This window comes from Homo sapiens, chromosome 11 (assembly GCF_000001405.40).
Source record: "Homo sapiens chromosome 11, GRCh38.p14 Primary Assembly".
Taxonomy (NCBI): domain Eukaryota; kingdom Metazoa; phylum Chordata; class Mammalia; order Primates; family Hominidae; genus Homo; species Homo sapiens.
The window spans coordinates 16700301-16714307 of record NC_000011.10 but is presented as its reverse complement, the minus strand read 5'-3'; the positions used below and the strand labels follow the sequence as shown (position 1 = coordinate 16714307).

At 36.1% G+C, this 14007-nt stretch overlaps 1 protein-coding gene across 1 annotated transcript in view, besides 2 other annotated features; it reads left to right on the top strand.

Moving 5' to 3' along the window:
- SOX6 (SRY-box transcription factor 6) overlaps window positions 1–14007 on the top strand; it is a 772029-nt gene that overhangs the window by 24170 nt on the left and 733852 nt on the right. The gene's annotated exons all lie outside the window — the stretch shown is intronic.
- Window positions 4442–4942: an enhancer, noted in NCBI's record as "H3K27ac hESC enhancer chr11:16730913-16731413 (GRCh37/hg19 assembly coordinates)". NCBI's record gives its function as "activates a minimal SCP1, AML or CMV promoter by ChIP-STARR-seq in primed H9 embryonic stem cells {active_cell/tissue: H9 hESC(primed)}" and the evidence as "EXISTENCE:reporter gene assay evidence [ECO:0000049][PMID:30033119]".
- Window positions 4943–5443: an enhancer, noted in NCBI's record as "H3K27ac hESC enhancer chr11:16730412-16730912 (GRCh37/hg19 assembly coordinates)". NCBI's record gives its function as "activates a minimal SCP1, AML or CMV promoter by ChIP-STARR-seq in primed H9 embryonic stem cells {active_cell/tissue: H9 hESC(primed)}" and the evidence as "EXISTENCE:reporter gene assay evidence [ECO:0000049][PMID:30033119]".

The window sequence follows — 14007 nt, the reverse complement described above, 5'->3', positions numbered from 1 at the left end:
AATTTTAGGGAAGTTGGAAATCAAACAAAAGTTCCATGGAAGCAGATTTTTTTTTTCCATACAACAATGCTGTACATAATTTCTTGTTCGCTAGGATAGTCTACATAAACCTATTTGAACTATAAGATAGCTAAACTAATTATCATTTGCAGTAATAAATAGTGTTGCAATGCTAAAAGTCAAATAATTTATATTTTATTATTTCTAATACTTTTGAAAAATTATGTAGAATTCTTTGGAATATGAGGAAGGAGTTAAATGGAGGCATAGATGTTTTTAACAACTAAGTGGTTCATGATGGAGGTTATATTTTCTAGCTTTTTATTATGGCAATTAAAAAACATATTCACACATGGGCAGAATCGTGAGTATGGACACCATGTGCTTAGTGGGGAAGTAAAACATTTTTGGCAAAGAAAAGTTGGATCACAGTTTTCTCCATTGGTTCTCCAAGTGACAGGAGCAACTTGAGATGATTTAGTAGCTGCCTGATTTGAGTTCTGCAGGAGTGGAAGGAGCTGGGGAAGTGTAGTTGTGACATTGCTTCATGGATTGAGTAAATTGATACATGGTTTAGTGTTTTGCAGAGCAGTGACTGAATTCTGAAAGTAGGCAGTGTAGGATTCCTGGGTTTGGCTGTTCCTTCTTTTATCTATTATTATTAACTCTAGATACTTTGCTTGGTTTCTTGTTTAGTTTCAAAATTGTGCAAATTTTATACTCATATGAATTTTAGAGTTACTAGCTATTAGGAAAACTTAAATTTTTAGGAACAAAGTATGATTTCTCCTTTTTAAATTTTTTATTACTTATTTATTTATTGTTTCCACAATAGCACATGTATGATTTCTCTAAGCAGGCATATTCTGAATGTATTATCCATATGAAATAAAATGTTGTTTATATTGTGAAGTAAATTATTTATGTAATGTAAAATAGAGGACTATTTTGTCTATATTCTCAAATTTTTCTTTTAAAAACAATTTAGTAAAAGATTTTGGCAATGTAATGCATTGTATTCTACTGTTATAATTGTATTTTTTTCTAGTTTTTTATTAGTTTGTAAATGCTTGTTAAAATGTTTTTTTCTGATATTTTTGGCCACCTCATACTTGCAGAAAATTTCTTAGGTATAGTTTGGATGCACCTATTAGCATAAGGCCATGTGCTGTCTAAGAAAAAATCTGATTCAGAAATCAGAAAGTCTGGGGTCACTGTGGCTCTGTCAGTTAATGCTGTGTCACCTTGGGCAAATCACTTGTCTTTCTGGATCTCAGTTTTTTATTTGTAAAAGAAGAGGGTCGGCTAGATGATTTCTAAGATCCTTTAAGGTGGCAGCATGATATAGTGGAGAGAATATTTGTTTGGAATCAGTCACACCTGGCTTTCATTCATTCACAGTATTTATTGAGAGCTATTATTTATTGTGCCAGGCATGGGAAATATAATAATTAACAGTATAAATAATTGAACTAATTAGTCTCTGCCTTTATGGAGCTTATATTCTAGTTTGGTAGACAATAAAAAGACAACTACATAAAACAATTATATAGTAAGTGCCATAAGGAACAAACAAGGGACTGTGACAGTATGGTGTGGGTCTGCTTCAAAAGGTAGTGATTCAGGGTGAGGTGGAGCTAGCTAGGTAATTAATGGGGAAGTGTTTTAGGTAAAGGGAACAGCATGTGAAATGGCCTTGAGGCTGAAAAGAGCTTAGTGTGTTCTAGTAACTAAGGACATGAATAGACAATTCTCAAAAGAAGATATACAAATGGCTAACAAACATATGAAAAAATGCTCAACATCACTAATGATCAGGGAAATGCAAGTCAAAACCACAATGTGATACCACCTTACTCCTGCAAGAATGGCCATAATTAAAAAATAAAAAAAAAATAGATGTTGGCATGGATGTGGCGAACAGGGAACACTTCTACACTGCTGGTGGGAATGTAAAACTAGTACAGCCACTATGGAAAATGGTGTGGAGATTCCTTAAAGAACTAAAAGGAGAACAACCATTTGATCCAGCAATCCCACTACTGGGTATTTACCCAGAGGGAAAGAAGCCATTATATGAAAAAGATACTTGCACTTGCATGTTTTTAGCAGCACAATTCACAATTGCAAAATCATGGAACCAACCCAAATGCCCATCACTCAATGAGTGGTTAAAGAAACTGTGGTGTGTGTGTGTGTGTGTGTGTGTGTGTGTGTGTGTGTGTGTGTATGGAATACTACTCAGCCATAAAAAGGAATGAATTAACAGCATTTGCAGTGACCTGGCTGAGATTGGAGACTATTATTCTAAGTGAAGTAACTCAGGAATGGAAAACCAAACATCATCTGTTCTCACTGATATGTGGGAGCTAAATTATGAGGATGCAAAGGCATAAGAATGATATGATGGACTTCGGGGATTTGCGGGGAAGTGTGAGAGGGGGATGAGGGATAAAAGACTACACATGTGGTGCGGTGTATACTGCTTAGGTGATGGGTGCACCAAAATCTCACAAATCACCACTAAAGAACTTTCCTATGTAACCAAATACCACCTGTACCCCAATCACTTATGGAAAAAAAGAAACATAACATTTTGAGCTGAGAAAAAAAAAGAAAGATGATCAGTAAGTATTAGAGTATAGTGAAAACAGGGGAGACTGGCATAAGTTGAGGTTGGAAAGATAGGCAGAGCTTTTAGATCATGAAATGAAGTTTGGATTTCATCTTAAGTGCCATTTTAAGATTTTATCTTAAAAGTAAACCATTGTAGGGTTTTCTTTTTGAAACAGCATCTCCTTCTGTCGTCCAGGCTGGAGTGCAGTAGCACGATCACAGCTAACTGGAGCTTCCACCTCCGAGGCTCAAGTGATCCTCCCATCTCCACCCCCCAGTAGCTGGGACTATAGGCCCACCATGCCTGGCTAACATTTTTTTTTCTTGTAGAGACGGGGTTTCCTCATGTTGCCCAGGCTAGTCTTGAACTCTTGGACTCAAGTGATCCACCTGCCTTGGCCTCTCCAAGTGCTGGGATTACAGGTATGAGCCTGTACTGTGCCTGGCCTGCTGTAATGTTTTTAGCAGGAGAGTGATTGATTTGATGTCTTAAGACATTTACTCTTATTACAGTATGGAGAATGGATTGGAGGAGGTCAAGAGTAGAAGTGAAGCTGTTGCATAGTTCAGGTGAGAAATAATGGGGACCTGGGTTAAGGTGGTAGAGGTGGAGCTGAAGAGATATAGAGCAATTCAAGATATATCTTAGAAACAACAGGATTTGCTGATGGATTAGAATTGGGGATAATGAAAAGGAAAATAAAAAGATGGCTCTTAGGTTTCTGGCTTGAACAACTTATGGACAAATTTTCTGTTTACCCAAATGGGAGGAGACAGACAGATTTGGGTGGGTAGGCATCATGATTTGTTAATCTTTTTCTCTGGACACATTAAATTTATAATGTTTTTGAGATATATATGTGGAAATACCAAGAAACAAAGTAGATAGATAGTCAAACCTGAAGCTCACAAAAGTCGTGGCTAAGTATAGATATATCTGGGAGTTATCAATAAAGGGATGGTATTCAAATCCATGGGAATGGATAAGGTCATCCAGGAAAAGAGATAGATTTCAGATGGCTCTGGCCTGAGTCTGAGAAACCCTATAACTTGTAAGTCAGATAAAAGAGGTAGTTCAACACTGGAGGCTAAGAGGTAGTAACTCTTAATAAGGATGAAATAAACCAGGAGATACAGTATTTGGAGGCCAAGAGAACTCAGGGTTTCAAGAAGGAGGAAGTTGATGATTTCATTGAATGCTGATGAGAAGTGAAGATAAGCACAGAGAAATGGCCATTGGACTTGGCAATGTTTGATTTGAGTTCTGGCTCGTCCACTTATTAGTTGTATGACCTTGAACACTTCATTTCACATCATTGAGTCTTAGTTTTCTCACCTTCTCAAAAGGTACTTCTCACGTGGGGTTATTCTAAGGATTAATGAACTAACACATATACTTGAATACTACCTGAAAAATATGGGATGCAGAGTTGATATTCTTTTCTTCTCTAGTTTTATGATAATTTTAGAAACGTTGAATAGGGTACACCTATCTCTCCCTTCAAGATGTTAATTTTGTTTTGGAAAATTCTGCTCTTTAGTGAAAACCTATAAAACAGAAAATATTTTCATTAATTCTAATAGGAAAAATTATAATGCATTTTATACCAATCCAAGATACCCTCTCTTTTCACAGAAAAATATAGCATTTGATGAACAATGAAAGCAAGCATAAATAAGTAATAAATAGCATTTGAAAGTAAATAAATATAGATTATACAAAAATTATAAAGTAATAAAGTTTTATTGTATTTGCTGAACGAATTAAAGAATTGATAATGGATGGCTGGTAGAGGAGAAGTGTGAGATATTCATTCTTTGGAAGGTGCATTCTTCTTTCTGCACCATTTTCTGCATCAATTGTTTTTTAGACTTTTAGGAGCTCATGATTATCTTGGCTTCAAATGAACTTAACTTGAAGTTATAGCACAGAAAGTTACTGTGTTAGGCTATTTTTGCTTTGCTATAAAGAAATACCTGAGACTGGGAAATTTATAAAGAAAAGAGGTTTAATTGGCTCACAGTTCTGCAGGTTGTACAGAAAGCATGGCAGTGGCATCTGCTTGGCTTCTGGGGAGGCCTCAGGGAGCTTTTTCTTATAGTGGAAGGCAAAGGAGGAACAGACTTCTCACATGGTGAGAAGAGGGCAGGTGCCACACACTTCTTTTTTTTTTGAGACACAGTCTTGCTATGTTTCCCAGGCTGGAGTGCAGTCGCACGATCTCAACTCACTGCAACCTCCACCTCTTGAGTTCAAGTGATTCTCGTGCCTCAGCGTCCCAAGTAGCTGGGACTACCAGTGCTTGTGGCCATGCCCAGCTAATTTTTGTATTTTTAGTGGAGACTGGGTTTTGCTGTGTTGGCCAGGCTGGTCTCGAACTCCTGACCTCAAGTGATTTACCCTCCTCAGCCTCCCAAAGTGCTGGGATTACAGGTGTGAGCCAGCATGCCTGGCCAGGTGCCACACACCTTTAAAAAACCATTTCTTATGAGAACTCGCTATCATGAGGGCAGCAATAAGACATTCATGAGAGATCCGCTCCAATGATGCAATCACCTCCCACCAGGCCCCTCTGTCAACACTGGGATTTACATGAGATTTGGGTGGGGATAAATATCCAACTGTATCAGCTACTTTTAGAGTTGTACAAGATGCCACCTCTTCATTCTGTATTGGCAATGCAAAACATTTTGGGTCATTTAAACATGGTACACAATGCATATTTTTCCAGATGATATTCTCTGACTAGAAGTTGTGTTGAGTAAATTAGTAAGTGTTTTGCCAGAAAGTAATGTCAAAACATCACATCTTATAGTATATTTATTTAGTGAATTTTTTTGTGTGAAAAAGTTATTATTCTGGGGAGAAAAATATGTTACCTGAAAAGTAATGCAATTTGTCTAGAGCCATTTTAAACTAATAAGTTGCTATCCGGTATAAGTCTTTATTTACCGATCATGTACCCCACGCATGGCTATGTTAGGCTCTATGAGGATAAAGAAAAAGTTTATAATTTAATGAGTAGCTTTAAGCAGGCAGAGTTTTTAGGTAATTCTTAATTATAAAGGGAATTAGCAAGAAGGCAAAAGCCATTTATTAGTGAGATCTTGCTCTCTAATAATGCAAAATACTTCCTCAATTGAACAAAATTTGAAAGCATAAGATATATTATCTGGAAATGAGAGAATCTCATTACAAAAAATGTAGGTATATTTTTAAACTATGTGTTTTAATTTTTTTAAATTTACTTTTATTTGGCACCTATACCATCAAACTATCAAACTACCTTGTGGGGAATCATAAAGCCACTTTGGCAGATGCATAAGAATGTGGATGCATCAGAGGACCACTGTCTAGGCAGGTCAAATCTTTATTTCATATTGAGCTTATACATCTAAGGCACATATATTTCTTGGCAAAAATCTGAATTTTCTGCTGAAAGGCTTGACATAAACAAACGTAAGATCAATGAATTTCAAGGTTTCATTAGGTCTGTATGCCCTAAGTATCCATGTATAACTTCTATTGGCATAATACTTTAAAAGGAAATATATTTGGTAAATTACTTGTTTCCCCTTTCCAAACTATAAAGTGGCTATATGGTAGTTTTAATAAACTACTGTGTGACTGTTATTACTGTTTGCTGTTGGAAATACCTTGGTCTCAGAGCAGTAACATGTGCAAATTGAAAATCAACCCAAAATACTTTCTTATCTGAATATTATAGACAGAGACTTAATTCTATTTCTCTCTGATTATTTTCTTTTTGTTTTGATATTAGATTCAGTTCCTAGTATAGTAACCCATCTGATGAAGGGGGTTTGTAGGCATCCCTAAATCTGAAAATCTGAAAAAGTGGATTAAGATGAACTCAGGGGCATTCTTTACTTTGCTGAAAGTAATTCTGTGTGGCTTACTTCAATTTATTTACTTTTTTCTCTAGAATTACTGTAAAGGTTTTCTATTTCACTCATTATAGCACAGTGTTTTTCACATTTGAATAGACTGCATCAACATGAATTCTTTATAAGGACCTTAAAAACAAACTTTGCCAAGTCCTGGAATACAGAAGTGAATTCACATCCCAATACTCAGTTGCCTCATGAATAAAGGAGAGCTTGTGCCTGACACTTTGAAGCTGTAGCTGTTAAACCATACAGAATATTTACCTCAATAAATCATTATAAGAAACTAAGGTACAATTATATCCACAGAGAAAAAGAATTCAAAACACTGATTTATGTGTTTCAGTGCCTATTCCCTTTCCCTACCATGTTTTGAATTTTGTGTATGTTTGTCATCTTTGGCTGTTCCTATGTATCTTTAAACTAATGGGTTCTGCTTTTTTTTTTTTAACATTCCTCATTAAGTTTGTTATTTTTCTTTGACACACAGACATGATTTGCATAGTGTACTAAGTTTTACATTTAAAACTAACTATATCTTATTTCTTAAGGCTGAAAGAGAAAATGGAAAAACTGACTAATTTATTTTAAATAAAACACTGCTTCTTTGCTTAATTTGTGAGCATTTGAACTGAAATTCCATATTAAGGATTTTATTTGGCATTTATTTTGGAGTACTACTGGGAAAGAGTAAAGAACTGGGTTATAACTAGGAAGGAGAACACTGCCTTTAAGATCCACTCATTATTGAATGATTTCGCTTATTTAAAGTGATAACACTATTATGGAAAGGTACATCTATTCCCAGTGTGCATTTTTTCATTCTAAAAGTAAAAACAAAATCTGAAGGTGAAAATAAGCCAGTAACATAGAGAAAGAAATGATAGTGAACATGACAAAGAGTCAATGTGCAGATAGGAGAATTTTTGCCTAGAATAATTTATTAGGGCCATCCAGATATAGCAGAAAAAAAAATGGTTTTCTAATGGTATGCTATTAAAATAATAAAGTATATTAAAATGGCTAATTTGTCATTTTAATGAAAATGTACAGGGTCTCAAATCCAAAAATCCAAACTCAAACTCCTCTCCCCCTCCAGACCCAACTCTGGAACTCTGGAGTGAACTCCCTCCTACCCCCTATATCTTAGCTTCCTCCACCCAACCCCTCTCTGCTTCTCATTTTCCTGCATGTTTGCTGGGCCCTTTTTTCCACTGCCCTTTGCTAAACATGACCATTACTAGAAAATACCGTCTTACACTATATATATATATATATATATATATATATATATATATATATATATATATATATTTTTTTTTTTTTTTTTTTTTTTGTGATAGGTTCTCACTCTTTCACCCAGGCTGGAAAGTGCAGTGATTCAATCATAGCTCACTACAGCCTTGACCTCCCAGGCTTAAGTGATCCTCCAGCCTCAGCCTCCTGAGTAGCTGGGACCACAGGAATGTGTTACTATACCCAGCTAATTAAAAAAACTTTTTTTTTTTTGGTAGAAATGGGGTCTCCTTTGTTGTCCAGGCTGGTCTCAAACTGGAGGCCTCAAGTGATCCTCCAGCCTCGGCCTCCCAAAGTGCTGGGATTACAGGTGTGAGCTACTGCACCCAGCCTCCTCTCACAATATCTTATAGCATAAACGGACACAATAATGAACCTTGCTAGTCTTACTGATTTAAACATTGGTCAAGATCACATTTGCACAATCAAATTACAAATTCTTCATTCTGTAAATTTCCCCCTTTCAATTAGAGAGTTGAATCCACTTATAGCTAGTGTAATTACTGATTAGGAAGGACTTCTGCCATTTTGCTATTTGTTTTCTATGTGTCATTTCTTTGTTCACATTTCTCCATTACTACCTTCTTTTATGTTAATTAGATATGTTCTATTGTACTGTTTTTATTCCTTTCTCATTTCTTTTACTAAAATATATTTTGGTTATTTTTTTAGTGATTTTCCTGGAGATTACAATTAACATCTTAATATATAACGATTTAGTTTGAATTACTACCAACTTAATTTCAATAGAATACAAAACTTTGCTTCTATATAAGCTCCATTCTTGCCTCTTGATGTTGTGATTGTCACAGATTAAATCTTTATACATTGTATGCCCATTAACATAGTTTTTTTTCCCCCTAGAGGTGGGATTTTGCTCTGTTGTCCAGGTTGGAGTGCAGTGGCACTATCATAGCTCACTGTAACCTTGAACTCCTGGGTTCAAGCCATCCTCCCGCCTCAGCCTCCCAAGTAGCTAAGACCACAGGTACATGCCACTATGCCTAGCTAATTTTTAAATTTGTTTTTTAGGGACGAGGTCTCTCTATATTGCCCAGGCTGATCTTGAATTCCTGGCATCAAGTGATCCTCCTGCCTCGACCTTCCAAAGTATTGGGATTACAGGTGTGAGCTACCACACCTGGTCTAAATGCCTAATTCTTTATGCATATAAGCAGAAGGGGTGGAAGACTAGATGATTTCTAGTTTCTTTCTTTTTTTTTTTCTTTTTTGAGACAGAGTCTTGCTCTGTCGCCCAGGCAGGAGTGCAATGGCATGATTTTGGCTCATTGCAACCTCCACCTCCTGGGTTCAAGCGATTCTCCTGCCTCAGGCTTCCGAGTAGCTGGGATTACAGGTGCCCACTACCATGCCTGGCTAATTTTTGTATTTTTAGTAGAGACAGGATTTCACCATGTTGGACAGGCTGGTCTTGAACTCCTGACCTCAGGTGATCCACCCGCCTCAGCCTCCCAAAGTGTTGGGATTACAGGCATGAGCCACCACACCTGGCCTGATGCCTAGTTTCTTTTAGTTTGCTTCATGACAAATATATATTTTTTCCTGTTAAATAATGTTTTAAAAAGTTGTCAAGAGTGTATTTGAATATTCTCACTGGAAAATTATTTAAATTTTCTTTCCCTTTCAAAACATTTCCTATAATTTGTAACCTAGTTTATCCAGAAGGTAACCTAGTTTATTCAGAAGGTATCCAGAAGGCTGGTTACTGAACTATGTTTTATAAAGCCCACCTATAAACTGGGTAGAATTCAGTTTAGATTAATTATTTTATAAAATTGAATTTGGACATTCTATAGGTACATATAATGTTCTACACCTTCTTAACTTGTTGCCTGTGTAATTAGGGAACTTCACTAAGCTTTATTCATTCCACATGTATTTGTTGAATACCTGGCATGTGCTAAGTCCTATGCTAAGAGCCTGTTTTCTGACATCAATGTGAGCATAACAATACCTATTTTGCAGGATTATTGTGGTGGTGTATATAAAATGTTTACCAAAGTCCCTGATACAAAGGTGTTCAATAAATGGTTACATACTTTTTTTTTTAATAAGAGCCTGCTATTGTTTGCCTAGCTTGTTGTCACTCTGTTATCCATTTGGTCTTTTGCATTTTTTGCATTGTAATTAACAGTAGAAATGTAAGTGGGAGAATAGGGAACTTGTCTTATTTGTTACAATACTTTGCACACAGTAGGTTCCATGTATTTCCAGAAGGGAAACTCATTGTAATTCTTGAAACAAAGTAAACTATTTTCAAGGAATGAAATGAAGATCATTTTAGCTGAATTGATTACAATATCTGGTTTTAGGCTTTCTGGTAATCCAGAATAAATGAAAATCATAATATTTAATAAAAAGGAAGCATATGTGTTTCTTAAATGATACAAACTTTTGTCTATCATTCAACTCTAAAAGGAAGTTATTGCATTGTTCTTTATGTAACTAATTTGGAGTTTGATTGACAGTGACTTTAGCAGCAGATTAGATTTGTTGATTTGACAAAAGAGCTGTTAAAAAGTGAAAGGTTAGATGGAAGTTGTATTATTGGTAAGACAGGACATTTCACTGAGCTTTATTCATTCATTCTACAAGTATTTGTTGAGTACCTGGGGGTGAGAGAAAAATAGAAAAGTTTAGGTGGCTGAACACTATTTACACAGTGGTGCTATTAAGAGAAATACAAATTCTTCTGTGTTGGGACTCACAAGTGATGTTCCATGGGTAAAATTTTAAAACATAAGCCATCAGGTTTAAGCACATTGTAAAAAAAGATGAAATAACAAACACAAAAGCACAAATAAATGTTTATAGTTTGGTTTGTTTTTGATGAGAGAGAGGGGTAAAAGCCAGGTATATTGTTGTTTTACAGCATTCCGGACAGTATCTTCCCCCTTTACTTTCTATTTCTAGTTTATATTATTATGAAATACTTTGACAAACTGAAAAGCAAAAACTGTCTTTGTAATTTAAAGAAGTCTTTGTATTTAAAAAAAATTTCGGGACTAGAACTTGGCACAGAGGTCTCCATCCTGAGTAGTCTTTTTCATAACAAATATTCAAGAGCCATTTTTTAGTTAAACGAAAATTTAAAAGAATGTTTCTGGCAATGGCAAGACATTATACATTCATAAAAATAATAAAATGTTTTCATTACCAGGTGTTCTAAGAATCTTACATGAACCAGTTTACAAGTGTAATTTGATCATTTAGCATCGGTGTATATGGAATAATTGGAGATACCCTCATAGACGTTAGTTCATATTTATAAACTATATATTTTTATTTTGTGTATCACACTGATCAGTGTGATTCGATCATGTAGTAAACCATGCTATGCATATACTATGTAACTTATTAAAGTACAAACATATAAGATACATTTTAAATGCTGTAGTAAGTTCAAATTTCCTACCATTTGTCATCTTACAATAATTGTTTTATTCATTTATTCATTTGCTAAATGTTCAAGGCAAATGTATTCCTTAAAGATATGTGTGGGGAAGAATTTATATATATATACATATGAAGGATTTTATATATATATATGAATAATTATATATATGTATATATATTTTAGGTAGTTTCTTCTTTGACATAGACCATTTCAATTGGGATATAAAATACAATATTCAGGATTTTTCTTTCCTTGTTCATAAAATATTACAGTACAACACAGGCTTTCTGAAGGTGCCTGGGACATCAAACACCTTCAGAAGATTTGGGACTCAGGAAAAGAAGGGTGGCCAGTGGGCTTGGAATGGGGAGTTTTCAAAATTCTCCATGGCTAAAGGGAATGAGAGGATACTAATGGGAAAAAGTGACTGAATTTCAGAGCTAGCCAGTGTCCTTGGACTTCAAGAAGGTCTGGAAATGGGGGGTTCTGATGTTTGTAGGAGTGTCCTCCTGTGGTCTGACTCAGAAAACATACAGAGTAAATTTAACAATTTACATAGTTACCAAGTTTTCCCTAAGTAGCATTCTCATTACTTGCTGGTACATGGATGCATGCTTTATTTCATAGAAAGGTTTAAGGAATTCAGAGAAACTACCTGTTGTAAAAAAGACCAGTAGACGATTAAAAAAATCTGTAGTAAGTGATTGGAAATTACTTATTTCTATAGGTTGATATAAGATACCTGAATCCAATCTTTGGGTCCTGAGTAAAATGATCAGAATCATTTTTGACAGTGTTTTCCCATTGTCCCAGTACTTTTAAGCTATTCGGCTTTATATCCTCTCCTTTCAGCTGCCTAAATTGTTGGTATTAAGAATCAGAATTATTTACTATTCTGTGCTAAATTAGTCCAAGTGATTTCCCAGCCAGAGATACAGAAATAAAAATTCGTTCACTCTATTTCCAAAATTGTACTTCTTTGTGAACTGAATTGATATTAGGGTGGTATCTGAATTCTATGGTATTGTTGTGATACACATGCTTCTCTGAATATCTCAATCATAAAGAACAGGAGGAGTGCCGATTCTTCTTCCCAAATGTGTTATTTCATCTTCATTCTCCAAATGCAGAGTATAGTATGGAAAATATCTATAAAGTTGCATATCCTTTTTTTTTTTGAGACGGAGTCTTGCTCTGTCGCCCAGGCTGGAGTGCAGTGGCGCAATTTCGGCTCACTGCAAGCTCCGCCTCCTGGGTTCACACCATTCTCCTGCCTCAGTCCCCCCTCCCACCCCCCCGAACCCCTCCGTCCCGCCCGCCCCTGAGTAGCTGGGACTACAGGCGCCGGCCACCACGCCTGGCTAATTTTTTGTATTTTTAGTGGAGACGGGGTTTCACCATGTTAGCCAGGATGGTCTCATCTCCTGACCTTGTGATCCGCCTGCCTCGGCCTCCCAAAGTGCTGGGATTACAGGCGTGAGTTGCATATCCTTTTAATAGTGGAATTAGGAGGTGAAGGAAAGAAATGAGAAATTTTTATTTTGTACTTCATATTCTTCCATATTGGTTTTCTATTTAAACCATGAACATATGTCAATTCTAAAAACTTGTCACTTCTTTTTTATCCATGATTAAATAGGTGTAATAGTAACGATAGTTACTGCTTATTAAGTACTTTTTCTCTACCAGTTCCTTAACATAATTTTATTTAATATTCACAAAAATCCTTTAAGATAAGAATAAATGTTCCCATTTTACGTAGGAAACAGATTCAGAGTGTTTTATAAAATATATCTGTGGGCATACCAATACTAAGTGGCAAAGCAAAGAACTAAATCCAGGTCTCTCTGAGTCCACGCTTTTTATGTCTACACTATAAAGGCATTGTTCACACTAATTCCTTTGGATGGCAAGAAATCTGTTTGTATGAATGGTAATGATTATAGTCCTCCAAGAATCTTTTAATAATTAAGAAGACCAACTATTGACAATAAAATAGTAAGTGTAACTAAGAGGCAAAAGAAAATTCCATGGACTGTTTTATGATGGGAAAAAGTCAGTCTGGTTATTTGATTGTCAGATATTTTTGAGTGTTGCATTGTATATATTTTTTTAAACTAGGACCTAGGGATTGATACCACATACCTTATGGCCCTAGCAGGAAACAATTCAACTCAGAGGAAAGGATTTTAATGAAGAGGAACTACCTTCAAAGGTGTGAGCAGGGTTAAGAAAACCAAGAAATGCTGGTGCACCCAGAGACCAGCAATAGCAGGAAGCCATTATCATCCTCAGGCCTGAAGGGATAAGAGGACTGAAATAGTGTTATTGGAGTCTAGACCCCTAGAAGAGGGCCTGGTGGGCAGGAGTCATAGTTGTTCAGGTATGCAAACAGTACTAGAACTGAGACCCTAAAGTAGAGTGGGAGTGGAGAAGAAATACTCTGACTTTCTTTTCTTTCTTCTCACTGGTCTCCTGCATGTGCTTCCCATTGTCCAACTCCAAACAGAAGCTGGACCAGGAGACCAGATGATGCAGTCCACGGGGTCAGTCTCCCAGGGCTCAAAGTGGAGAATGAGTCTGGGGATGGGGCAAAGCAAATGGAGAATAACCAGTACATTCCTTTATTGCTTTGCCATTATTTCTAGGACTAAGACAAAATTCTTCACATGACCTATAAGGCCCTAGACTGTTTGACTCCTGATGAACTCTTCAGCTCCTTTTCCTTCTCTCCAGTCCAGGTATACTGGCTGTTATCAATGCTTTGTTCT